Raw genomic sequence first — 26,211 nt, 5'->3', positions numbered from 1 at the left:
AGGTATATTTATTATGCCAGTTTATCAAATTATATACTTTGAAATTTACTTCGTGTCAATTATACTCAGTGAAATAGGTATATAGAGATAAATATCTTATCTACATATATAAATTCATATATTATATGAGTGGGGAGGAGGAGAGAGATGATACCAAAAGATAACTGGAGTTTGTAAATTGGGAATAATAATAATTATAGGTGGAGAAAGCAGGAAAGAAACATTCTAGGCAGAGACCACAGCATATGCAAAGTTAGGAAGAACTGGATGTGCTTAAAGAATCAAAAAAAGACCAGTACGGCTAAAGTTTGGTGAGCAAGGTGTAGAGTGATATGGTTTGATGCTGTTGAGGTATACAATGACCACATCATGGAGGCTATTGAAGGACGTATTAAGGTAATTGAGCATTATCTAAAGAGAGTAGACCTCATTGAGGTTTAAGCTCAGGAGAGACATTATCCAATTCAATTTTACATTTTTAATGGATTCCCTCTGGCTTCAGTATAGTAAATGGATTGGAAGGGGACAAGACAAGATGCAGAAGACTAATAAGACTACTTTTGCAGTACTCCAGGCTATAGGTGTTCACGGTTTGAACTAGACTGGTGAAGTGTAAATGGAAAGAAGTGGATGGATTTAGGTACTATTTAGGAGGTGGCTTTAGTAGGACTTGATATTTGATTGGGAGACATGAGGGAGAGAGAGAGATATCAAGGGTAACTTCCAAATTTCTAACTTGCACAAGTTTCCAACTTAATACCTTGTGATGTCTGCCCGTCACTGAAAAAGCAAATATTATAGGAGGCCTAAATTTTGTGAGCAAGATTATGACATTCAAGTGGAGATATTAAGTTAGCAATTAAATATCCTCAGCTAGAGCTGAGAGAGGAGGTCAAATATGAATTTGTGAGTCATCAGCACATGCATGCTTTAGTCAGAGTCCTGTTAGGAAGCAGATGGAATGCTCAATTGGAATTTTGAGGAAACTACCTACAGAAATGTAGAAAGGGTTAAAAAAGTCAACAAAGAGTGCTGGGAAACCCAGAGACTGTCAACAGTAGGAAGCCATTACTGTCCTTAGACCTGAAATGGTAAAGGGAAGAAATGATGTTACTAGAATCAAGTTGAGATCAGGAACTGCTGGAAAGAGGCATCTGACAGGAGCTATAGTTGAGAATAACCCAACCACTTATGGAATGCCAAAGACAGAAGGAAATGGGAGAAATAAATATATTACCTTTCTCTCCTCTCACTTTTCAATATCCTAGTGGTGCATCACACTGGCCAACCCCAACTGGAAGCCAGAGGTCAAGAGAACCCCAGCGATGCAGTGCATTGAAAGTCAGATTCGCAGGACAAGTTGCAAGATAGAGAAGGGGTGGTAAATGGATCTGGGGAGCAAATGAAAGAAAACAAACACAAATTTTGTTGAACAGTGGGAAGGAGGTCCAGAACCAAGCTGTGAGGAACTCTAACATTTAACAGTCAGATACAGGAGGAAAAAGACTGAAAGGAGTGATTATAATAGGTAAGAAAAAAATGAATGTGGTGTCATGGAGACTTAAGAAAGAATATTTCAAAAAGGAGAACCTCATCAACATATCTAATAATCTCGAGAAACTGTGTTGGACACTTGTTTTATTAATTTTGTTTTTTGTGGGGTTTTTGTGTTGATGTTGTAGATGCATTTTGTGTTTGTTTTGCTACTCAGCATCTTTATCCCATTTTTTTAATTTAAAAATCCCTCTTTTTGAGTTTTGGTGAAAGGCCAGCTTTTACTGCAGTAGCCAGAAGTTCCAAACTTTTACTTCCTTGTCACTTGAAACAAGGATGCATGCTCTGACCTAGGCCTGATCAATTAGTTATATTCATCTTCAAATGGGGATTTAGTGATACACAGAGGCGGGGACAGTGGAGAGTCTGTTGTGGTGGCAGTGGCAGTAACATCAACAGCTCCCAGTTTCCAGGGATGACGGTTGCATCAGTAATAGTGTTCAATGTCCAACAGCAGATGTAGTACACGCTGTAGTGTTCAAATTCTGGCTTCCTGACATCACTTTAATTCTGCTCATTTTCCAAACCTGATTCTCCAGGTTTATCTGTGATTATATGAGCTACCAAATGTGTTTTCAATGTCTGTTCTGCCTTTATTATCCAGTATTAGTTTCTGGTATTTGCAAGTAAGAACTCTGACTAATATGCAGATCTAATAAAATGAAATTATGTTCATGTATTTTAGTAAGTGGAGGTCATCAGTAACTTTAGCAAAGAATCTTGTCAGGTTGGGGGCAGGAATAGGATTGACGTTCCTGAGGAGAGAGAGTGGACAGTGAGAAAATCAGGATATTCAAACCACTCAATGGAGACATTTGGTTCTGAAGGAGAAAATAGGGCAATGACCAGAGAATAAATTTAAAGTAGAAAGTTATTTTTAAATGTGAGAATCCTGACATTTAAATGCTCATCAGAAGGACCTAGTAAATATGGAGAGGTTGAAGACAGTCAAGGGAAGGGAAAATCTGAGTATGAATTAGACAACAAAACCTGCATATTCTAGCTCCTCTTCCTAAGTTACTCTAATTGGGAACCATTGTTTATAAAAACAGATTCTGAGCCATAGAACAGATTCTGTCCCTTTATGTACGACTGGTACAGAAAGCTCATTGCACTTTGAAAGAAACAAATGGATTACAGTAATGTTAAATACTGTTGCAACATACCTCCTAGGGCCATGAAGTTGAATGGTAACTAATGTTGCCGTTAGCAAGCAATTAACTACCAGATCATAAGTCATCATCTGCTACTTTTTAGCATTTTCACAGAACAAGTTAGACAAATTTTACATGCATACTTAGAATATTAGGATGTCATGTGTTGAAATGTTTTGTATCCATCAAAATAAAAATAAAATAATTTTCTCTTGAGGATCCCTTTGTAACCCCAAGGTTTGCACATGCAGTTGGTATTTATGTACATGGAAATCTTTTCTATAAATGTCTCTGCTCTCTGTGGAATATTTGATATGGAATTAGAATTATAGTGCTTTATAAGGAATCATTCTGTTGTTCAGTGAAACAAGGTAGTAATGGCTAACTGGGCATTAGGGAAAGTGATTTCTAAGAGAAGTATTTCTCAAACCTACTGTGGTAATAGAAAAACTACTTAAGAGGAAATAAGACCATTTCTAAATACTAGCAAGTTCCTTGGAATATTTTCAACCGAGGATAAGGACATCTTTCCATTGGTTTTTTTTTTTTTTTTTTTTTTTTTTTAGTCATGGCACCATGGTGTTCCTTGGCTTACCTTTAAAGACTGCTGGGTTTTTCCACTGAGAAAAATATTTATTCTGGGATTTTTAGCATTATGCAACTGCCTGATTTTCCTAAACAATGTTCTTTTCTTTTCTTTCTTTCTTTCTTTCTTTCTTTCTTTCTTTCTTTTATGTGGCCAAGGAATTAAAGAATTCTTGGCATATTCACTCTGCAGTTTCAATGTTTTTTCAAGATCATGTGACTGTAACTGAGGGACAGTACAGGGGAGGCTCACCGTTGCCTGTGTGAATTTCCTTCTGTGAAAATGAGTGTTTTGAGGCCAGTCAACTTAGCACATCTGTAGTAAATGAGTCTACCATGATGTTTTCATCGAGTTCAACTTCTGTACAAGCATAGTACCTCAGTCATTTAGGAAAAAGCAAAACAACTTTTCCTTGCAAATATCATAAATCCATTTATCACCAAAAGGAATGCTTACCAGTCTTTTTATTTTTTTATTGCTGTAACTAATAAAACTGGTCATTGGAAAAGAGGGAAAGAAATAAAACTAACGACTTGACTAAGGACAAATCAAGGCCTTTCAATCTTGACTTTGCAGTTTTCCAGGTGAACACAAGCATAAGTGTTGTCTAAAATGAGTTTCTTGTCTTAAAGGAACATTGAAAATCCTGAATTTTCCATTTGTGGATTGTGTCCAGTATAAGGAAGAAAAACACACTTCATCAGCACCTTTGTAGTAGGACCACCATCGAAGCTTCTATTAGGAAATCCAGCTACCCTGCCACCCATCTGGGCTGTGTGTTCTCATAGGCTAGTCACACGAAAGAAACTTTTCTTTCTAAGAAGATACACTTTTTTCTTCACAGTATTTTGGAGAAAGAGACCTACATTCTTTGTCCAGACCTACATTTAGCAAATCCTGTCATCTCATTATTAAGAGGTTGATTATTCAGTTATGGCTTATCCTGATTGGTACTTCTTCCCTCCCTCCGACCCCCAACCCCGCCGCTTGTTTTGGCCCATTTTCTACTCATTAGGAACTCTTCCAGAGCAACAAAGTTCAGTGTATTTGGCAGCGTATTGGCAACAAAACGAAATATCTGCTAAAGGATTTAACTTTCTTAGTTGAATTTTCCATGACTCCTGATCAGATAAAGTTCATACTTTTTTTTTTTTTTTAATAGAGACAGGGTCCCTCTCTGTCACCCAGGCTGGAGTACAGTGGTGTGATCTTAGCTCACTGCAGCCTTGAACACCTAGGCTCAAGTGATCCTCCTACCTCAGATTCACAAGTAACTGGGACTACAGGCATGCACCACCACATTCCGTAATTTATTGTTTTTTATTTTTGTAGAGATGAGATCTCACCATCTTGCCTAGGCTAGCCTTGAACTCCTGAGCTCAAGCAGTTATCCCACCTCGGCCTCCCAAAGTGCTGGGATTGCAGGCATGAGCCACCATGCTCGGCTGGTTTATACTTTTTATGGAATGATGTTTCTTCGTGGTCTAGCCTCTGTTGACATTTCCAGACATATATTCTACCTTGCTTCTGATGTGTGCTGTGCATTTCAGTCATAATCACAGCTAACAGTTATTAAACGCTTACTGTATCCCAGGCACTGTTCCAGGTGCTGATGTGTATTAAGTGATTTAACCCTCACAAAACCTCCATGAAGTAGAGACAGCTGTTATATCCAGTTTACAGAAAAGGAAGCTGAGACCGAGAGAGACTAAATAACTTCCGCAGGTTCACACAGACAACAAGTAATCCAATCAGAATTCAAACCAGGCATCTTAGTTTCAGAGCTATGCTTCTTCAAGTATGCCTATTTACTTAGCCCCCAAAATTCTATTATTTCCCCCACTTTCTGGCCTTTGTGTACTTTATTTCCACTGCTTAGAAAGCTCTTCCATTTTTCCCTCTAACTTTATGGTGATCTTTTAGGACTTAACTGAACTATTACCTCCTTCACTCACCTTTCTAGTCGGAGTTGAGCTTGTCTGCTCTGAACTTTTGGATGCTCAGTACACTGCCTCCATCAGAGCATGGATGTTGTCTTTCTTTCTCTCCAAAGAGTCCTGTAGAATCACCTAGCACCATGTCAGGCCCATAGGAGAAGATCAATAAACATTTGGGAATTGAATGTTCTTTTTTTTTTTTTTTTTTTTTTTGAGACGGAGTCTCGCTCTGTCGCCCAGGCCGGAGTGCAGTAGTTGCGATCTCAGCTCGCTGCAACCTCCACCTCCCAGATTCACGCCATTCTCCTGCGTCAGCCTCCCGAGTAGCTGGGACTACAGGCGCCCACCACCATGCCTGGCTAATTTTTTTTTTTTTGTATTTTTGGTAGAGACGGGGTTTCACCATGTTACCCAGGATGGTCTCGATCTCCTGACCTCATGATCCACCCGCCTCAGCCTCCCAAAGTGCTGGGATTACAGGCGTGAGCCACCGTGCCCGGCCAGGAATTGAATGTTCTTTGCATAGTTGTTAGGATCTTGGAGACCTGGGTTTAAAATCTAGATGCGATAGGTATTTGACATCTTAAGCAGCATTTATAAAATGAGTACAATAGTATTATACTTAATCCATATGGTTTTTATAAGAATCAAATGAAATATTGTATGTAAAATGCATAGTACACTGCATGTATTTATTGGGTATCATCTTTTCATAATAATAAATATAAATGGTTAAGCTTACATGCATTCATTCAAAAAATAATTTGTTTCGTGCCTACTAAGAGCCAGGAGTTAGGGAATATAGCAGTTAATCATGGTCAAAAAACTGCCCTCATGGAGTTTGGTGTGTTCACAGGGTTGTGGGAGAATCAAATAAGATAGTATGAGTAGATTATTTGTAATTTTTTGAATAAAAGGATAGACATTTATTTCTCTATAATGATGTGAACCCAGACATATCTAAGAGTCAAAGTATAGATGAAACATCTTCTTTCAGTCCCTGTTAGTCCTGTGATTGGATGTCAAGACCTGGGTAAAGGAGATTTCATAAAATACCTTTATTTTGTCAAATATCATAGTGACATTTGCACTATTTTTTAGGATTGATAAAACATCAGTTGTAAATAATTTCTGTGAAGTAAAACAATGTTGAAATACCTGTATTCATTAAGGTTGAGCAAGAGATTGTATACCCTTGATGTGAGTCAAACAGACCTGTCTTCACTACCTTACGACCTGCCTCAGCTGTACTCTCAGTTCCATAAGCTTTAATATGTTTAGAAATTCAAAACTAAAATTACCTCCTAACTTTAGTATATAGCTCATTCATAAATCTTATTTCTAGCAATTGGCTACATTACTTATGATTGGCACGGCAGGAAAATATTATGAATGCTACATTATTTATGTAAAATGTAGCCTTGCATATAATCACCTAATAATTACCATCCCACATATTTTTAAACACCAATCCTTTGCAGGAAGGGATATATTTAGTAAACCAAATAAAACGAGAAATTCCTACTTAAACAGAAGTGTTTTGAGTTGCTCAGACTAAAGGAAGTAAAGTATTATTTATATAACTTCTGGGTTTGCTGGCTTAAGAAAAAAAATAGTACTTACATTGCCTAATAATCTAGGATATTATATTTGTACTACAGAAAGTAAATTAATTTTAAATTAATTTTTCTTATTATCTTCTCACATAGTTAATAACTATATAAACATAATGCTCTGTACACATAAGGTGCCTGGCAGAAGAGAAAGGAAAAAACTTTTTTTAGAAAAATGTTAAGGTAGTACTTTAAAGAAAAATATCAACCAATATGAAGTTCAGTGTCATTTTGTCATTCTACTATGAGAAATCAATAAAATTGATATTCGAAATATTTGTAATTTCACTCAGCATAACTTTAAATATAATATTTTTAGCTATTTTTAGAATGTAGATTTTTATCGTTGCCTGGATTTAACAAATTTTATTTTTTATTGCTTATTTTTTAATATATTTGTTTCAATCCTAATGAGAATATGACGGCTAAGCCAAGGAGCTGGGGGAATAACAGAGTGACACTTTCTTTGGTATGTTTCACTATTATGTACAAATAAGTAATCATCATTCCAAAATTTGTCTCTGTATCTTTTTTCTAAATGTGTGCATATAGCACCATTTTCCTTCCCAGATCTTTCCATTCAGTTCTAAAATGAAGGCAGACTTGCACTAAAACAATTTCTTCCTTTTCCCAGAGGGAAGTCAAAGTGAAAAGCAATGCCTTCTTTCCTTAACTGACACCAGATCAAATAAAATAATACAAACCATAATGCTATTCATTTCTGACAAATGGAATGCACTCAATAAAAAGCAACTCTTGCAGTTGTGGTTGATGTTGTTGTTGTCATTACTGATCGAAGTACTTGTTTCTTTAGAGTCCAAAGGCTTAGGAAGCCATGGGTTTCAGTCCTGTCAAAACTGACAACACTTTCCTGCTAGGTTTAAAACTTATTTCGGTAGGGAGACTGGCTCCTATCTGAGAATAAAGGAAGTCTCTGGTCATGCGACACCATGTACTCTTATAATTATATTAATTTTTAATACACATGTAAGCTGTTCATTGATTTTTGGCATCTCTGACCAAAGTTAATAATAATTATAATTATATTTACTTTTTAAAATTTACCCAGAATGATTTAACATAGGCTGAATTGTTTTAGACAAATCATTTAGAAGACACTGGAAAGAATGCCTAGGGTTAGCATCTGTTTCTCTTGCAAACAAAATTAATCAGCCATCTGTGTAATAAGAAATGTTTGTTCTTTACTTGTATGAAACATTGTTTGGAACGTTGAACAGAACACTCTGCTATCATCCTCAAATTTCTCTCTAAGAAACCAACAAGCATAGTAAATGACTTGGACTATATTCATTCTACTGGGTTAAATATCTGATGGCACTGCAAGTAAAATGAAGTTGCTAGTTTACAGTTAACCCTAATGACAAGTTTTGTGCTCCTTATTATTCTCAGTCAAAAGTACATCTTGACTTCAAGAGTGGTCAGTAGTTTCTGAATGTCCATTGTCATGTATCACCTGAAAGATACATTTTTTATATTAGAAAATGAAGAACTTTAAAATTGCCTAGAATTATAAGTAAAGTGAGGCAAAATGGTTCTATTTTAGAATTATGCAATTTTGAGGTATCTTAAAATCATCTAGGATAATCAGTTCTAATGATGCGTCTCCCTAAAATATCCATTACCTCTATAAAATATCTGGAGATAAGAGGCTCACAAACTTGCAAGACAACCTAATGCTTTTTAAAAAAATTCTCACACGATCTACATCTATAACTTAACTTTTCAGTTGGTTTAACTCTGAAGTTACTTTGTTTTTTACTTTATTTTTTTTGCTGCTTACATGCCCTTTCTTTCATCTTGTATATATGACTTTTTAAAATCTGCTCTCTCTTCGGGTTTCTTTAGGTCTTTATACTATTTTTGTTTTTATTAGGGAGGGTGCTATTCATCAGAATTTTGTTTTTAAAATTTGCCTTTCCTGTTAAGTCATATCCCCATTAGAGACCTGGTCATTGGTATAACACCTATGTCTTTTCTGAACATTTTTGAAAATTTAAATCCCAAAGTCTCAGATGACTATCATTTGTATTGATGATCTCTAAAATGGCACCATCTCATGACTCCAGGGTTCTCATCATTCATGTGCAAAGTACACTACCAGATAATGTATCCCATAGGTATGGAACAGAAAGGCTCATGGAAAATTAAAACAAATATAAAACACATAGAAACCAGGGGAAAGAAACAGGATAAGATAATACACTTAGGATGAGGCACAAGCAACTTGGAAGAACTACATCACCTGAATCCTAAGTCCACAGCATGGATCTCTCGCTCTCGCTCTCTCTCTCCCCTCTCTTTCCTTCCCTCCTCTTCTCTCTCTCTCTCTTTCCTTCTCTTTCTCCCTTTTTCTTTTCCTCTCTCTTCCTCTATTTCTCCTTCTGTGAGGATTTTGCCCTTGTAATTTGTTCCTTAAAATATTGAGCCCCACTAACGCAGATAAATGGTGAGAGATAGTTGGGACAAAAAAAGACTTAAAGGTCAAGCTGAGGAACATGAACCTATATCCTATATGTACCTCCCTGTAAGCACCCAGGATTGGAGATGAACCTTAGATACAAAATACATTATTTTAGTGAGTTTTGGAATGTGAGGAAAATCTACTTAGAAAGGATAATTTTTAAAAATATACTTAATTATCTTTTACCATAAGCAAGAAAATAATAAAATATGTGATGACATAATATGAAGAAAATGTTATTTGAAAAAAAAGGAAAAAATGCTTTGGTACTAAATTCAAAATTGACTTTACTTTTTAAATACCATTCTCTCAACCAGACCTTCCACAGAAATGGCTTTAGTCTGTCTTGAGCCAAAACATCTCTCCCACCACATTTATAACTTTAAGGGCAATATCTTTATATTATGATCATGATCCAGTTTCTTCTCACTAATTTCTTTTCTGATTACCACTAAAGGTAACTTCCCCTCCTCAGAACCTCTCAGGTATTTACATTACATCTCTCTTCTTAGGAATTTTTTTAAAACTTTTGCTGTCATTATAATTATTTATATAGTACATTCCATCACATTTCGTTTTTTGTTTTTCTTTTTCTTATTAATTTATTTGTTTATTTTTGAGACAGGGTCTCACTCTGTTGCCCAGGCTAGAGTGCAGTGGCATGATCATGGCTCACTGCATCTTTGAACTCTTGGGCTCAAGCGATTCTCTCACCTCAGCTTCCCAAGCAGCTAAGGCTACAGATGCTCACAATACCATGCCCTGGTAACTACTTTTTTCCTTTCTTTTTTTTTTTTTTTTTAGAGATGGGGTTTCACTGTGTCACCCAGACTGGTCTCAAACTCCTGGGCTCAAGTAATCCTCCCACCTTAGCCTCTACCAAAGTGCTGGGGTTACAGGGATGAGCCACCACACCTGGTCTCATCTTTTTCATTTAATTTTAAGCTTCTTAAAAACAAGAACCATATATTATTTATATCTATATTTTTAAAGGGATTCCCATGGTAGCTTCCTTATGCATAGATGATATTCAATAAATATTTGTTGAATACATGGAGAAACTATTGAATAACCCAATTTAATATCCTAGGAATCAACTCAGAAAATAAGTTATTCCTAGAAGAGAAGTCAACAAACTTTTTCTGTAAATATGAAAACATATTTCTGTAAATATTCATATAAATATGAATAAATTTTAGTATTTGCAGGAAGCAAACTCAAGGGTATTACTTGTGAACTTATGTAAGAAGAGAGAAACTGTTCACAAAATGTTTATTCATGAAATTAAAAATATAATTAAGTAAAAATTTTGTAATGCAAGACTAGTAATGAGAAAAATGTCATGCTTTGTATAGGATAACACTTAGCTTATTAAAATCTGCTTTCTCTGTGGGTTTCTTTAGGTTTTCAGCTGTTTCTGTTTTATTGGGGAGGGTGCTATACATAAGAATTTTGTTTTTAAAGCTTGCCTTTCCTGTAAAGTGATCTTATTACAGTTCCCTATTGTAAGAATTTTCTGCACTTGTTAATGCTGTTAATATTGGCCTGTAATGAGACTTTGCATATTTCACATATTTCATCTTTGAAAATTTTTTTCACACAGATAGGTACTGCCAAATGCTGCAATTCATGAGCGTATGATTTTCATTGAATATACTGATTGCTTGAAAACAATATCCAGAATTCTATTAGGTTCTCTTGATTTTGCCTTTTAGCATGTCATTTCCTTGTAGATTAATCATTTCCAATTGTAAGCTAGGTGGAAACTCCTCAAGTGCACAGTCAAATCGATTTTGAAATATGGAAATTTATTGCATCTAGGTCTAAGATATGCTACTGAAACTGTTTGAGTTCAGAAAATCTACCCACCATATGCTTTCCAAATTTATCCAATAATTCTTTTTTTGATCCATAGCTGTCAGTTGTATTGTATCTTAGCAGAATCCACAGAAGATTGTACTGATTTAGTGTTTTTTTTAAACTTCTTTGAAAATATTCTCACTTGCAGTTACCCCACAGACTATTTATACAATTCTTCCATCTCAGCATTGACTCCTTCCCATACTCAGCATTGACTCCTTGAATGAGCAACTGAGCAGTATTGCTAATTTCTATTGACTCATCAAGAACCAACAGGCCGTGCTGGTAGGGAGAGAAGAAAAAAAGAAAGAACCTTCTTTTTTAATTGATTGTTGATGCTGTACCAGTGTCCTCAACATTTCAAGCAGCTATTCTTGCCAAAAAGCTAACAATCTTAAATAAGTGTATTTTTGCTATGTGATTTAATTAAGTCATCAATAAGGGATTTTCCTTATTGGGCTAACAAATGAAGTGAACACTCAGAAACTTACTTCAGTTGCAGCCTCATTTTCATTTTGTTGTGAAGAAATTCTGCTGTGATAAAATACTCCATGTTACATTTTCCAATTTTTCTGACTGTTGCATTCCTGTGAGGTAGAAATATTATATTATGTGCCTAGTCTGATAATGTTGATATATACTGTATAATTTTTAAGCATAGCTATAGTAATATTACATAGTAAATACAAGGCTTTGCCATCTAATTCAATAAGAAAATTCATTTTCCATGGTGCCTAAAAATACAATATTCGAAGTCCACTTTTCTTTTCTTGCTTTGATATGATAGCATGTGCACTGGTAATACGTAAAATAAAGTGTCACAGTAATATATGTTCCACTTGAAACACTATAACTGCATCACTGCAATTTGTAGTACACCAAGCAACAGTACAAAGCAATGGAAGTGCCATATAAGATCTCTACCAAGACACAAAATCCCTTCAAAAAATCAACGAATCCAGGAGTTGGTCTTTTGAAAAAAAAAAATGAAATAGATCATTAGCTATCTAATAAAGAAGAAAAGATAGAAGAATCAAATAGACACAATAAAAAATGATAAAGGAGATATCATCGCTAACCCCACAAAAAATACAAACAACCATCAGAGAATACTATAAACACCTCTATGCAAATAAACTGTACAATCAAGAAGAAATGGATACATTCATTGACATATACACCCTCCCAAGACTGAACCAGTAACAGTTGAATCCCTGAATAGACCAATAATGAGTTCTGAAATTGAGGCAGTAATAAATAGCCTATCAACCAAAAATAAACCCAGAACTAGATGGATTCGTAACTGAATTCTACCAGAGGTATACCAAGAGGGGCTGGTACCATTTCTTCTGAAACGATTTCAAACAATTGAAAAGAAGAGACTCCTCCCTAACTCATTTTATGAGGCCAGCATCATCCTGATACCAAAACCTGCTAGAGATATAACAAAAAAAGAAAACTTAAGGCCAATATTCCTGCTGAACATCAATGCAAAATCCTCAATAATATCCTGGCAAACCAAATCCAGCAGTACATCAAAAAGCTTATCCACCATGATCAAGTTGGCTTCACCCCCGGGATGCAAGGCTGGTTCAACATACACAAATCAATAAATGTAATTCATCACGTAAACAGAACTAAAGACAAAAACCACATGATTATCTCAGTAGATGCAGAAAAGGCCTTCAATAAAATTCAACATCCCTTCATGTTAAAAACTCTCAATAAACTAGGTATTGACAGAACATACCTCAAAATAATAAGAGCCTTTTATGACAGACCCACAGCTGATATCATACTGAATGGGCAAAAGCTGGAAGCATTCCCCTTGAAAACTGGCACAAGGCAAGGATACCCCCTCTCCTCACTCCTATTCAACATAGTATTGGAAGTTCTGTCCAGGGCAAACAGGCAAGAGAAAGGGTATTCAAATAGGAAGAGAGGAAGTCAAATTGTCTCTGTTTGCAGATGAATGATCCTATATCTAGAAAACCCCATCTTTTCAGCCCAAAAGCTTCTTAAGCTGAGAAGCAACTTCAGCAAAGTCTCAGGATACAAAATCAATGTTCAGAAACCACAAGCATTCCCATACACCAACAGCAGACAAGCAGAGAACCAAATCATGAGTGAACTCCCATTCACAATTGCTACAAAGAGAATAAAATACCTAGGAATATAGCTAACAAGGGAAATAAAGGACCTCTTCAAGCAGTACTACAAAACACTGCTCAAGGAAATCAGAGAGGACACAAATGGAAAAACATTCCATGCTCGTGGATAGGAAGAATTAATATTGTGAAAATGACCATACTGCCCAAAGTAATTTATAGATTCAATACTATTCCCATAAAACTACCATTGACATTCTTCACAGAATTAGAAACAACTATTTTTTAAAATTCATATGAAGCAAAAAAAGAGCCCGTATAGCCAAGACTATCTGAAGCAAAAAGAACAAAGCTAGAAGCATCACTCTGCCTGACTTCAAACTATACTACAAAGCTACAGTAACCAAAGCAGCATGGTACTGATACAAAAACAGACACATAGACCAACGGACCAGAATAGAGAACTCAGAAATAAGACCACACACCTACAACCATCTGATCTTTGAAAAACCTGACAAAAACAAGCAATGTGGAAAGGATTCCCTCTTTAATAAATGGTGCTGGGGGAACTGGCTAGCCATATGCAGAAAATTGAAACTGGACTCCTTCCTTACACCTTATACAAAGATTAACTCATGATGGATTAAAGACAAATGTAAAACACAAAACTATAAAAACCCTAGAAGAAAATCTAGGCAATACTATTCAGGACTTAGGCTGGGCAAAGACTTCATGATGAAACATCAAAAGCAATTGCAACAAAAGCAAAAATTGACAAATGGGATCTAATTAAACTAAAGAGCTTCTGCACAGCAGAAGAAACTATCATCAGAGCAAACAGACAACCCACAGAATGGGAGAAAATTTTTGCAATCTAACCATCTGACAAATGTGTAATATCCAGAATCTACAAGGAGCTTAAGCAAATTTACAAGAAAAAAACAACCTCATTAAAAAGTGGGCAAAGGGCCAGGCGCGGTGGCTCACGCCTATAATCCCAGCACTTTGGGAGGCCGAGATGGGCGGATCACGAGGTCAGGAGATCAAGACCATTCTGGCTAACACGGTGAAACTACATCTCTGTTAAAAATACAAAAAAATTAGCTGGATGTAGTGGCAGGTGCCTGTAGTCCCAGCTACTCAGGAGGCTGAGGCAGGAGAATGGCATGAACCCAGGAGGTGGAGCTTGCAGTGAGCCGAGATCGCACCACTGCACTCCAGCCTGGGTGACTGAGCGTGACTCTGTCTCCAAAAAACATAATAAAATAAAATTAAAATTAAAAAAATAAAAAGTGGGCAAAGGACATGAACAGACATTTCTCAAAAGAAGACATTCATGCAGCCAACAAACATATCAAAAAAAAGCTCAGCATCATTGATTATTAGAGAAATGCAAATCAAATCCACGATGAGATACCATCTCACACCGGTCAGAATGGCAATTATTAAAAAGTCAAGAAACAACAGATACTTGCAGGGCTGCAGAGAAATAGGAACACTTTTACACTGTTGATGGGAATGTAAATTAGTCCAACCATTGTGGAAGACAGTGTGGTGATTCCTCGAAGACCTTAAGGAACCAAAGTCCAGGAATACCAGAAATACCATTTTACCCAGTAATCCCATTACTGGGTATATACCCAAAGCAATATATATCATTCTATCATAAAGATACATGCACGCGTATGTTCATTGCAGCACCATTCACAATAGCAAAGGCATGGAATCAACCCAAATGCCCATCAATGATAGACTGGATAAAGAAAATGTGGTACATATACAGCATGGAATACTATGCAGCCATAAAAAGGAATGAGATCATGTCCTTTGCAGGGATATAGATGGAGCTGGAAGCCATTATCTTCAGCAAACTAATGCAGAAACAGAAAATCAAACATATCATGGTCTTATAAGTGGGAGCTGAACAATGTGAACACATGGACACAGGGAGGGGAACAACACCCACTGGGGCCTGTTGGTGGAGGTGGGACAGAGGCAGAGGGAGAGCATTAGGAAAAATAGCTAATGCATGCTGGACTTAATACCTAGGTGATGGGTTGATAGCTGGAGCAAATCACCATGGCACACATTTACCTACATAACAAACCTGCACATCCTGCGCATGTACCCGGAAACTTAAAATGAAATTAAAAAAAAAAAAACTCTGCCATAACTACTCAGCTCTGCTATTGTTGTGCAAATGCAGCCCTAAACAATATGTAAATGAATGAGCATGACTGTCCAGTAAAACTTAATACATACTGAAATTTTAATTTCATAGAATTTTTCCATGTCTTTAAGTATTATTCTTTTCAATGTTTAAAAATGTAAAAACTGTTCTTAGTTCATGAGATCTACAAAAACAGGTGATGGACTGAATTTAGTTTGCAAAGTGTAGTTTGCCAACCTGATTTAGGATTTAGTTTTAAGGATATACTGTTTGCTTGCTTAACTTTATTTCCAGTTAAACAATTTTTAGCAAATTTTCTGGAATCATGTATGGTTGAGGAATAGAATTTTCTTCTTAAGGAGACTTTCAGCAGTTATTAGAGTTGCCATGTACACCAGAGTATAATACAAAAGTTAGAACACAACAAACATACTTCACACCTAGGCTTTATAAGTAAGAAGGTACTGGTGGACTTCGTATTGCTTTAGTGTTTTCATTTTAAAAACCCAAGATCATTGCATAAATTATAGAAATTTCAAGTGAGTGGTGAGTATTCCTAAAAAAGTATTTAAACATTTCATCTTCTGGGAAAGAAGCCCAGGATAACTCCTGGGCAGTATGTTAACAGACGCCTTTCGGGGCACAACTCTTCCTACATTTTATTGAGCCTCTAAACTGACTTTTTAGAAACTTTCCCAGTTTTCATTTCTTATCTGTGTTATTTAGGGCATCAGAGGCGGCCCAGGAAGAACAGGTCTTGCTGGGGCTCCAGGTCCTCCAGGAGTAAAGGGTTCATCAGGCTTGCCAGGAAGCCCAGGAATTCAAGGCCCAAAGGTACTTTAATATTTTGTTCCAATGGGTAAGCAGTATTGGCCATCCTTTCTGGCCCTGAGTTCATTGGCTAGATCACAGAATGGTAAGATTAATAGTTTTTAATAGAATTTGGCTAATAGTAAAAGCACGTTAGGAAAAGAGAAAGTATGTAGTTTTGACATATCCATCTCCCATGATAGCCACAGTGCCTGTAATTTGTCATAACAACTCTTTGACCCAGGACTAGTGATGCTTTAAAAAATGCTATGTCTTTGACTCATTTTTGTTCTTTTTCCTTCTCTGTCATCTGTCTTCTCCTCCAAAACAGGGAAATCTTATTTACTTCCAGATAAATACTTTCTCAAATACAATTCCTTTTCTTCTGACTCTGAACCTAACCAACCAATTAATTAATCTGATAACCGTACAGACTGTTTCTTAGAGTTAATGTGACAGTAACTAAGTCTTATATTGCATTTATTGTGTGGAGTCTGTCACATGTCAATAGACTTTCCAGACAAAACCTCTTTTAGAAATATCTCATACAGGATTGACCCAGACAACTTAGAAATTAGTCCAACATCTAAAGCTCTTTCATAAAAGCCTAAGACTAAGACATTGGCACCCTTACCATTATTACCTCTTAACCTGATTTTCCCAGTTCCACTTCTAAAGAATTTTCAGATTTCTGACCCATGTGGGTAAACTGAAAATCATGACCTACTTGTTTACTGTTTACAATATTAGTCTTCTGTTAATGTTTATACCATGAATATTCCTTTGTGCTAAAATTCAAAGCAGCTAAGCAAATGCTAAAGCCAGGAAAAGAAGTAAAGATCCCATGTTTTAGGCTTGAATTTGCAATAAGAAAGATCCATATTTGTCAAACCCCAAAATTGTATAGCTTTGTCTCAAGACAGTGAGAGATAATTTGTTAATCTTAAAGAAGCTTTGGCCAAAGTCTACCAAGCATCGTTTTTCATTAACCTATCTCTAAAATCCACCTGATTCCTAAATTTACTTTTAGAAATGGTGTGAAAGATATTTCAACTCTCATTTCAAAAATAAAAATCAATGAAAAAAGACTTGACTTTTAGAAATTCAATAATGTTGATTAAGTATGTACTTAAAGTGACTTTTAGGGGATAAAGACAGTTCATATCAAAGGAATCTAGGGAGACAGATAATGGAAATTTTTTATTGATGGAATTAAAAAGATAATCATGGCTAAAACCAGGGTTTACACTTCAGGAGACTACTCTTTTTCTGGTATTAGATAGCTGAATCATCTCTGGATGGTAGGGAAAACACAGAAAAATGATATCAATTCAAAATACAAGTTCTGGCCAGGCACAGTGGCTCACACTTGTAATTCTACCACTTTGGGAGGCTAATGCAGGAGGATCACTTGAGGCTAGTAGTTCAAGACCAGCCTGGGCAACATAGTGAGATCCTGTCTCTACAAAAAAATAGAGAATTAGCTAGGTGCAATGATGTGTGCCTGTAGTCCCAGCTACTCAGGAGACTGAGTTGGGAGGATCGCTTGAGCCCAGGAGTTTAAGGCTGCAGTAAGCCATGATCACATCACTGCACTACAGCCTGGGCAACAGAGCAAGACCCCATCTCTAATAAAAAATAAAATAAATAAATAAACAAAATATAAGTTCCATCACATATAAACACACCCACACATACCACACCCTCACTATCCCCTCTCAAGCCTTACTATCCTACTAGTTTTATAGGTTCCCCCTTCCCTCTTCTTTCCACACATCACCACAATCTCTGGAATTTCCTTTTCCCACTGCTACTCTTCTGGTACATTATAATTAAATACTACTTGTGTGGAAAATATTGGTGAACAAGATGAACATGCAAAATTTGATTTCCCCAGTGCCTTGTATTTATGGAATGGGCCTAAGGATGGGCCTGTATTTGGGTTTCATTCAAAAGCCAATATGTTTATATGTTCTGATGTAAAGATCGCTTTTCTTTGTTCTACCCATAGGGTGAACAAGGGCTACCTGGTCAACCTGGAATTCAAGGTAAAAGAGGTCACCGAGGAGCACAAGGTGATCAAGGACCATGTGGAGACCCTGGCCTGAAAGGGCAGCCTGTATGTACCACCTCAGAAATTCACCAAGCATTTATTCTACAGAGCAGGCTGCCATTGTACAATAATTATTATCATGTCAATTCACTTTGCAGGGAGAATATGGTGTTCAAGGTTTGACAGGTTTCCAAGGATTCCCAGGCCCTAAAGTATGTTTACATACTTTCTTCTAGTCTTCTAGCTATCTAGAAATAAAAGAGCTGTTGAAATAATATAGTCTGTAACTTGAGCTTTTTTAAATCTGTAAAATTTCAGTTGGTACATATTTATATATTTGAGTTTCGAATACATCTGTTTTTAAAATTATGTAACTATACATTTTCCCAGAAATTTTAGTATATGATATGATTTTGTTTTCTTTCATCCCTTTTCCCAAGCAGTTTATTATGAAAATTTTCAAACATACAGCAATGTTGAGAAAATTTTACAGTAAATGCCTATACCCATTACCTAAATTTTACCATTAACATTTTACCCTGCTGGCATTATTGTGCTTATCCATCTACGTATCCCTCTCTCCCTTCATTGGTGTATTTCTAAGTAAATTGTAGGCCTCAGTACACTTCCTTCTGAATTCTTCAGCATGCACAACAGTATTATATTCCATTTTTAAAAGAGCAATTCTTGATAGATTTATATAGTTTTGTAAAATGTTCATATAGAGCTACAAATTTTATCTTTTTGTTTCTTATTGTATGTCTAGGGTCCTGAAGGGGATGCTGGCATTGTTGGGATATCAGGTCCTAAAGGTCCTATTGGACACAGAGTAAGTGTAAAGTCATTCTGCCTACCAGAAATTGTGGTTCTTTGCTTACTGCAGGGCTTAAGAGCTCTAAATGTAATGTACTTCAAGTAAATAACTTAATGAAATGACTTTTAAGGTAGAAACTCATAAGGGCACATGCAGAATTCAATCTTTTGCAGTTCATATATTAGTTTGAGCAAAATACCTCATAGACCACCCGTACTTCCTAGTCTTACTTAAAAAAAAAAAAAGAATCATCAGAATTACTGTGAAGACTGGATAATGTATTAACTCACGCCAGGAACAAAAACATACAGCAATTTCACGTTATAAGCATTAATGCAACCAGAGACCACCTCCATGCACCACCTGGAAGAAGCTTGTGTATGACCAGAGCTCTTCAGACCAGACTGAAAATATTTCCCAATAGCTGTGTTTTCCCAGCTCAGGGGCAGGTATCCCAAGAGAGTGATGAGGAACCGCTTAAATAGTTGCAAAAAGCAGGGTCTGAAGAACTCCAATTAGCAATGAGTGCTTGTAATTGCAAATTGTAGAGAATATAAATAGGACAAATAAGCCACCAGTGCTTACTGATTATTGTTTTTAGTTTTTTGTTTTGTTTTTAGTTTTTATTAATCAAAGCTTTCTAATTGATGAGATGTTCTATAAAACTGAAAAAAAGCTGAAAAAAAATTTAAAACTTCAAGTAATGGTTTGGCTGTGGTAGTAGCATCTCTATGACTAATAGCAGCTGCAGGGGCAAGTGTTGAAAGAGCAGAGAGAGGAAAAAGGGAAGCAGTGCAGATGTAGGATAAAGGTATCTTAAATAACTATTAAATGAAAGTCAAACTTCTAAAATCCTATACCGCTTTCCTAACTCTTACAATAAATTGTTGTCAATAATGCAAAAAGGTTTTTTGTCCTTGCAATAGTTTGCTGAGAATGATGGTTTCCAGCTTCATCCATGTCCCTACAAAGGACATAAACTCATCATCTTTTATTGCATAGTATTCCATGGTGTATATGTGCCACATTTTCTTCATCCAGTCTATCATACTTATGTAACTAACCTGCACGTTGTGCACATGTACCCTAAAACTTAAAGTATAATTTTAAAAAATGCAAAAAGGGCCAGATGCAGTGGCTCACACCTGTAATCCCAGCACTTTGGGAGGCCAAGGCGGGTGGATTGCTTGAGGTCAGGAGTTTGAGACTAGCCTGATCAATATGGTAAAACCCCATCTCTAATAAAAATATTTAAATTTAGCTGGGCATGGTGGCACATGCCTGTAATCCCAGCTACTTGGAAGGCTGAAGCAGGAGACTCACTTGAACCCAGGAGGCAAAGGTTACAGTGAGCCGAGATGGCACAACTGCACTCCAGCCTGGGCGACAGCAAGAAGCAAGACTCCATCTCAGTTAAAACAATACTAATTCAAAAAATAATGCAAAGAGGAGTATTATCATGGTAATTGTTTAAAGACCTTTCTGAATATTTCTTCAGCTATAAATATATTAGTTATTTTCATGATTTCTGAAGAACCACGGAAGCTGAAGTTTGTAGGAAAAAACTAAAATGGGCATTTTGTATTCACTGAGAAATTATAGACTCTCTTCCTACTTTGGGAGGAATTGACCAGAAATCCAGCTTATTCAAGGTTATCTTCATAACCAAATAATAGCTTAAAGTTTTAAAAGCACTTTTCATATTTAATTCTCACAATGGCCCTATGAAGTAGATGTTCTTATTCCTGTTTTACAGATGAAGAACTGAAGTTTAGTTGGTCACATATGCTGTTCTCTGGTTCCTTACTGTACTTTTTCTCTATTTCATGCTTCATGTTACCCAAACATCTACTTTTTCAACATCTGCACAGAAATTTATTCAAAACCTAGTTCATCATTCTATTCTTTTTTATATAAAGTAGTTTTATTTGTTATATAACATACATGTAAAATGCATCTTTGAAGTTATCACCACATAAAAATCATAATGCTAATTCATCAGTTTTTTAGAAATTATACAGATGCAACTCTCCTGATAAGAGACTTTAATAATATGCAGAATTGTGTCACATACTGTTAACCAAGATTATTGTAATTTATGCTAATACTGTAAGCTTTTATACTAAAAAGGATAATTATGTAGACATGGCTCTTTTACCATTGTACAAGAGATTCTGTGGAGTTTTTTTTTTTTTAATTATACTAACAGTGAGACTGTTTTTCTTTTACCTCAACAGGGAAACACTGGTCCCCTTGGCAGAGAAGGTATAATAGGCCCAACAGGTAGAACTGTAAGTTTATCATAATACAAGTCTTTTGTACTCTTTTTTTTCTTTAATTCTATTTCTAGAATATTCTACAAAGAATTAGCCTGGGTATTTGAGAAGAAAATGGAAAAAATAGATATACATTTTCTTCTGGAAAATGATTCCTGAGAAGTTAGGGACCATATGTGTAATGAAGACAGTGTAACTAAGTAGGTAAGTGTTTATAATTGGAGTTGAGAAAAGAAAATAGAACTGAGTCAGGAAGGGGAGAGTGTTATAAACATAGAGATGAACTCCTGAGCAATAAAAATAAATTCTTCTTCTGAAGGAAAGAACATAGATAGCAAAAGATGTGCAGACATCCAACATTTGAGTTTTTGGAAGTACCCACTATAAAGGAAGGAAAGAATCGTTCGAGAGAATAGCAAGTGTTTCAAGAAAGGAGTAGTCAACAGTAATCTTTGAGAGAATAAATTGCAGTAGAAGATACAGTACAGGTTACAGTGATGAAGGAAGTAGGGGAAAATGTTTAATAATAATGTTCCTTAAATTCTTACAACAAACTTTTGCAGTAGATATTATTTTCATTTAACAGATGAGGAGACAGATGAGGTTTATGGAGGTTCATCTAGTCATTCAAGGTGATAGACCTCGTGGATTACATAGCTGGTGTTTCTTCAAGACCAGCGCTCTTTCCACTCCATTCAAGCTGTGTCTGGAGAGGAAATTGAGGTATTATATGCCAGTGCTTTAAGAAATTTGGCTATGAAATAAAACATAAAAATGAGACAATGATTGGTCAAGTGATGTTGGGAAAGTTTTCCAATATTGATAATAGTATAAACAAGCAAGGAGCACAGTAGAAAGGGTCAAATTGAGACTTAGAGAGGAAAGATTCATTCTATCTAGGGAATTAATATTTTGAATTATTTGAAAGTTATTTATAGACACAGACAATTAAAAAATATAAAAATAGAATGCTTCAAGTGTTTAGTACCACTATTCTCTTTGATAAATTTAGAGAAGAAACCACCAAAGTTACTGGATATGTAAACAAAAGAAGTAAAATGTATAACTCAGTATTTCTGTAGACTTTCAACATTTGCCACTCGGAGCTATATAAGATTGTAAGTGGGAGAATTCTCATATTTCAGTGAGTGGTTCTTCAGCAAGCTAAGGGACACATACTGTTCTGATTACAGAATGATTTTTCTCCTCTGTCAAAAATATGATGTATTAATTGGTCAAGGAAAATGTAATTTTAAAATTACTTAATTAAAATATCTTACTGTGTTTTGTTTATAGATAGTTCTTAAAGACCCTTATAATATTCAGCATGTACATCAATTTTTCCATATTCAATTTTTTCCATTCTGAGAAGAAAAGTTCATTATGAAAGAATAAGCATTTCAGATTGGTGAAAGCATTGGGAAAAAAAATACCAGTGAGGGGTGACAGGCTTGGAAATTTGTAAATGAAACTATATGGTAATACAAAGAAATAAACAGATCGGTGTAACAGACTAGAGCCCAGAATTTGATCTTAAGTATATATAGGAATTTACTTACAACAAAAATGGCATATAATTGAGGAAGGTTTGGCTGCAAATAATAGGAACCCTGAACCAAAGTACTTTTAGCAATAAGAAAATTTGTATCACATTATAGGAAAGCCTTCAGATTTGGTTAATTTGGCGACTCAATTATCTCATCCAAGACCAGGTTCTTATGTATCTCTTATATCTCTATGTCTCTACTCTAATATCCTGAATGTTGGCTTCATAATTAGGCTTATAGCAAGATGACTACAACTTCTCAAGAACTACATCCAGATATAATTATCCAAAGGAAAAAAAAAATGACATAAAGTACTATTGTGGCAAAAATAAGAATTTTTTAGAAGTCTCCGATTACATTTTTTTCATATCTAATTGTCTAGCATTCAGCCAGATGTTCACTCCTACGTCAGTGACAGGGAAGAGAGATGGAATTACTTTGAGTATCCTCCTGCTATAAGAAATTGGAACACAGCCTGGGCAACATAGTGAGACCCCCATCATATAAAAATAAATTAGCTGTGTGTGGTGGTACATGCCTATAAGCCCTAGCTACTTGGGAGGCTAAGATGGGAGGATTGCTTGAGCCCAGGAGTTCCAGGCTACAGTGAGTTGACTGCACCCACTGCACTCCAGCCTGCGCAAACAGAGTGAGACCCCATCTCTTTAAAAAAGGAAAAAAGAAGAAAGAAAAATTGGAACCCCATTTGCCAAAAGTATTTTACTCCTAGATGAACTTTTAACGACTTTAATGTAAAAAATAAAACAATAAAAATCTTAGAAGAGGCCAAGCGCAGTGGCTCATGCTTGTAATCCCAGCACTTTGGGAGGCCGAGGTGGGCAGATCACCTGAGGTCAGGAGTTCAAGACCAGCCTGGCCAACATGGTGAAACTTCATCTCTACTAAAAATACAAAATTAGCCGGGTGTGGCGGTACATGCCAGTAATCCCAGCTACCTGGGAGGCTGAGGCAGGAGAATCTCTTGAACCTGGGAGGCAGAGGTTGCAGTGAGCCAAGATCATGCCATTGCACTCCAGCCTGGGCAATAAGAGTGAAACTCCATCTCAAAAAAAAAAAAAAAATTGAAGAATAATCTAGAAAACTAACATGTAGCTTAAGGATTGGGGAGACCTGTAAAAGAACAGAAAGTATATTTGAATACTTGAAATTTTTTTTTCATTTTGTATGGAAAAAAGATTCCATGAATAAAGTTTAAAAGTACTATTGATTGGGAAAAATATTTACAAAGCATACAATATATAACAGGTTAATATACAAAGAGCTCAGTTGGGAACAGTAGTTCACGGCTGTATTACCAGCACTTTGGGAGGCTGAGGCTGGAAGATTGCTTGAGCACAGAAGTTTAGACCAGCCTTGGCAATATAGTGAGATCCCATCTCTACAAAAAAATTTAAAATGAGCCTGGCGTAGTGGCAGATGCCTGTAGTCCCAGCTACTCAAGAGGCTGAGGTGGGAAGACCACTTGATCTGAGGAAGTTGAGGCTATAGGGAGCCATGATCATGCCACTGCACTCCAGCCTGGGCAAAAAAAATTTAAAAATAAAAAATTATCTACCTATCTGTTGCTATGGATACGTGTATGTATCTAGAGATAGATGATAGATAGATAGATAGATAGATAGATAGATAGATAGATAGATAGAGATAGAGACATATACACACATATACCAAGAGCTCTTATAGTTTGAAAAAGAAAGTTCAATAGAAAAATGAAAAGCATTCCATCAAAAAAGTAGCCAGCGGAGAAAAAAAGAACAAATCCAAAAGTTCAACTATTGTTTTATAATAAAAAGACACTCACCTAAATTTAAGTCAGAGAAATGCAAATTAAAGTAAAATAAGATATTACATTTAACTTCTCAGAAGGGAATATAGGAGAAAACAGTACTCTCATTGATCACTGGTAAAAATGTGAATTACAGACTTTATGGAAAGATTTGTTAAATATAGGTACATATTCTTTAACAAAACAGTTCCACTTGGAGGAATTTATCCCATAGGTATAAAAGCACCCAATACACTAATGAAATTTTGCAAAGACTTTTTTTTGTAATACTACTTTTATTGGAAAAAAAATTGAAATTACGTGAATACTCATTTCTAAAGGAATGATTGAGTAAGTTATAGGTTAGCCATTTCATGGAATATTATGCAATTGTTTAAAAGAATTTATTATATCTAGTTTGGCTGACTCAGTTATTTCATGATGTATTGTTAAGTGCGATGCATAGAAGAGTATATAATATGATTCCAATATTTTAAAACAGCAATATTTCTCATACATACATAAATGTATTTGTCAATATTTGATTAGAAAAAGGTATGAAAACATACATACCAGGTTGTTAATACTGGGTAGGGTGTGGAAAAGGGTGTATATATTTTTTTAAAGTGCTGTGTAGATATCTTAAAAATCAGGGTCCAGGCGCAGTGACTCACTCCTGTAATCTCAGCACTTTGGGAGGCTGAGGCGGGCGGATCACGAGGTCAGGAGATTGAGATCATCCTGGCCAACATGGTGAAACGCCATCTCTACTGAAAATACAAAAATTATCTGGGCTTAGTGGTATGCTCCTGTAGTCCCAGCTACTCAGGAGGCTGGGGCAGGAGAATCGCTTGAACCCAGGAGGTGGAGGTTGTAGTGAGCTGAGATCATGCCACTGCACTCCAGCCTGGTGACAGAGCGAGACTCCTTCTCAAAAAAAAAAAAATAAGTAAATAAATAAATAAGTTTTTTTTAAGTTAATACCCTGGTTTAAAATGAATTGAGACAAGATGAGAAACACAGAAGTAATATAAATGGTGAATAAATGATAAGATAGTATTCTTAGCTTGCAAATTAACAAAGAACATGACATAGATCAGAAGAAATGTACACTTCCATTTTTGCAGGTGTGTATGTAATTTCAAACTAACTTTCTGGAAGACAGTCTTTAACAAAAATTTTAGACTGTAAGGGTATCTCTCACAACACTGCTAACAATGACAAAAATTAGCAAAAAGTCTAATAATAGCAAATTTAAAATATTATCATAGTATATTAAATACTAGGTAAGATTATTAAATATTTTAATTATCTAAAAGAATGTATATTGACATGGAAGAGCATTCATATTATATTTATGAAGGTGTAAATTCAGGTTACAGAAAAGATGAATAGTATCTCATTTTTTACATATATATACATATAAAATTTTCAAAAGGATGAACAGGAAAATATTAACAC

At 35.8% G+C, this 26,211-nt stretch overlaps 1 protein-coding gene across 19 annotated transcripts in view, besides 1 other annotated feature; it reads left to right on the top strand.

Annotated features, from left to right (window-relative positions):
• Positions 1–26,211, top strand: part of COL24A1 (collagen type XXIV alpha 1 chain) — a 427,752-nt gene that overhangs the window by 354,333 nt on the left and 47,208 nt on the right. For 17 of the 19 annotated variants that reach the window (NR_146340.2, NR_146341.2, NR_146344.1 and 14 more), the window contains 5 exons: positions 16,191–16,298; positions 18,286–18,393; positions 18,486–18,539; positions 19,094–19,156; positions 21,379–21,432. Coding sequence is in view for 13 of the 19 variants with exons in the window: in XM_047417004.1 (XP_047272960.1) it covers positions 16,191–16,298; positions 18,286–18,393; positions 18,486–18,539; positions 19,094–19,156; positions 21,379–21,432 (387 nt within the window). In the remaining 6 variants the exon portion in view is untranslated. Of the gene's footprint in view, positions 1–16,190; positions 16,299–18,285; positions 18,394–18,485; positions 18,540–19,093; positions 19,157–21,378; positions 21,433–22,003; positions 22,141–26,211 lie in introns of all 19 variants that reach the window. The other 2 variants (NR_146342.2, XM_047417016.1) reach the window with 2 other exon arrangements.
• Positions 19,637–19,806: an enhancer, noted in NCBI's record as "experimental_9389 CRE fragment used in MPRA reporter constructs". NCBI's record gives its function as "activates a minimal promoter by MPRAs in K562 erythroleukemia cells, with activity observed for both the introgressed and non-introgressed 1:86248614 variant alleles {active_cell/tissue: K562}" and the evidence as "EXISTENCE:reporter gene assay evidence [ECO:0000049][PMID:34662402]".

The sequence above is a fragment of the Homo sapiens genome, chromosome 1, assembly GCF_000001405.40.
Source record: "Homo sapiens chromosome 1, GRCh38.p14 Primary Assembly".
Taxonomy (NCBI): Eukaryota; Metazoa; Chordata; class Mammalia; order Primates; family Hominidae; genus Homo; species Homo sapiens.
Note: the sequence above shows the minus strand (reverse complement) of the source record. Positions and strands in the feature narration are given on the sequence as shown.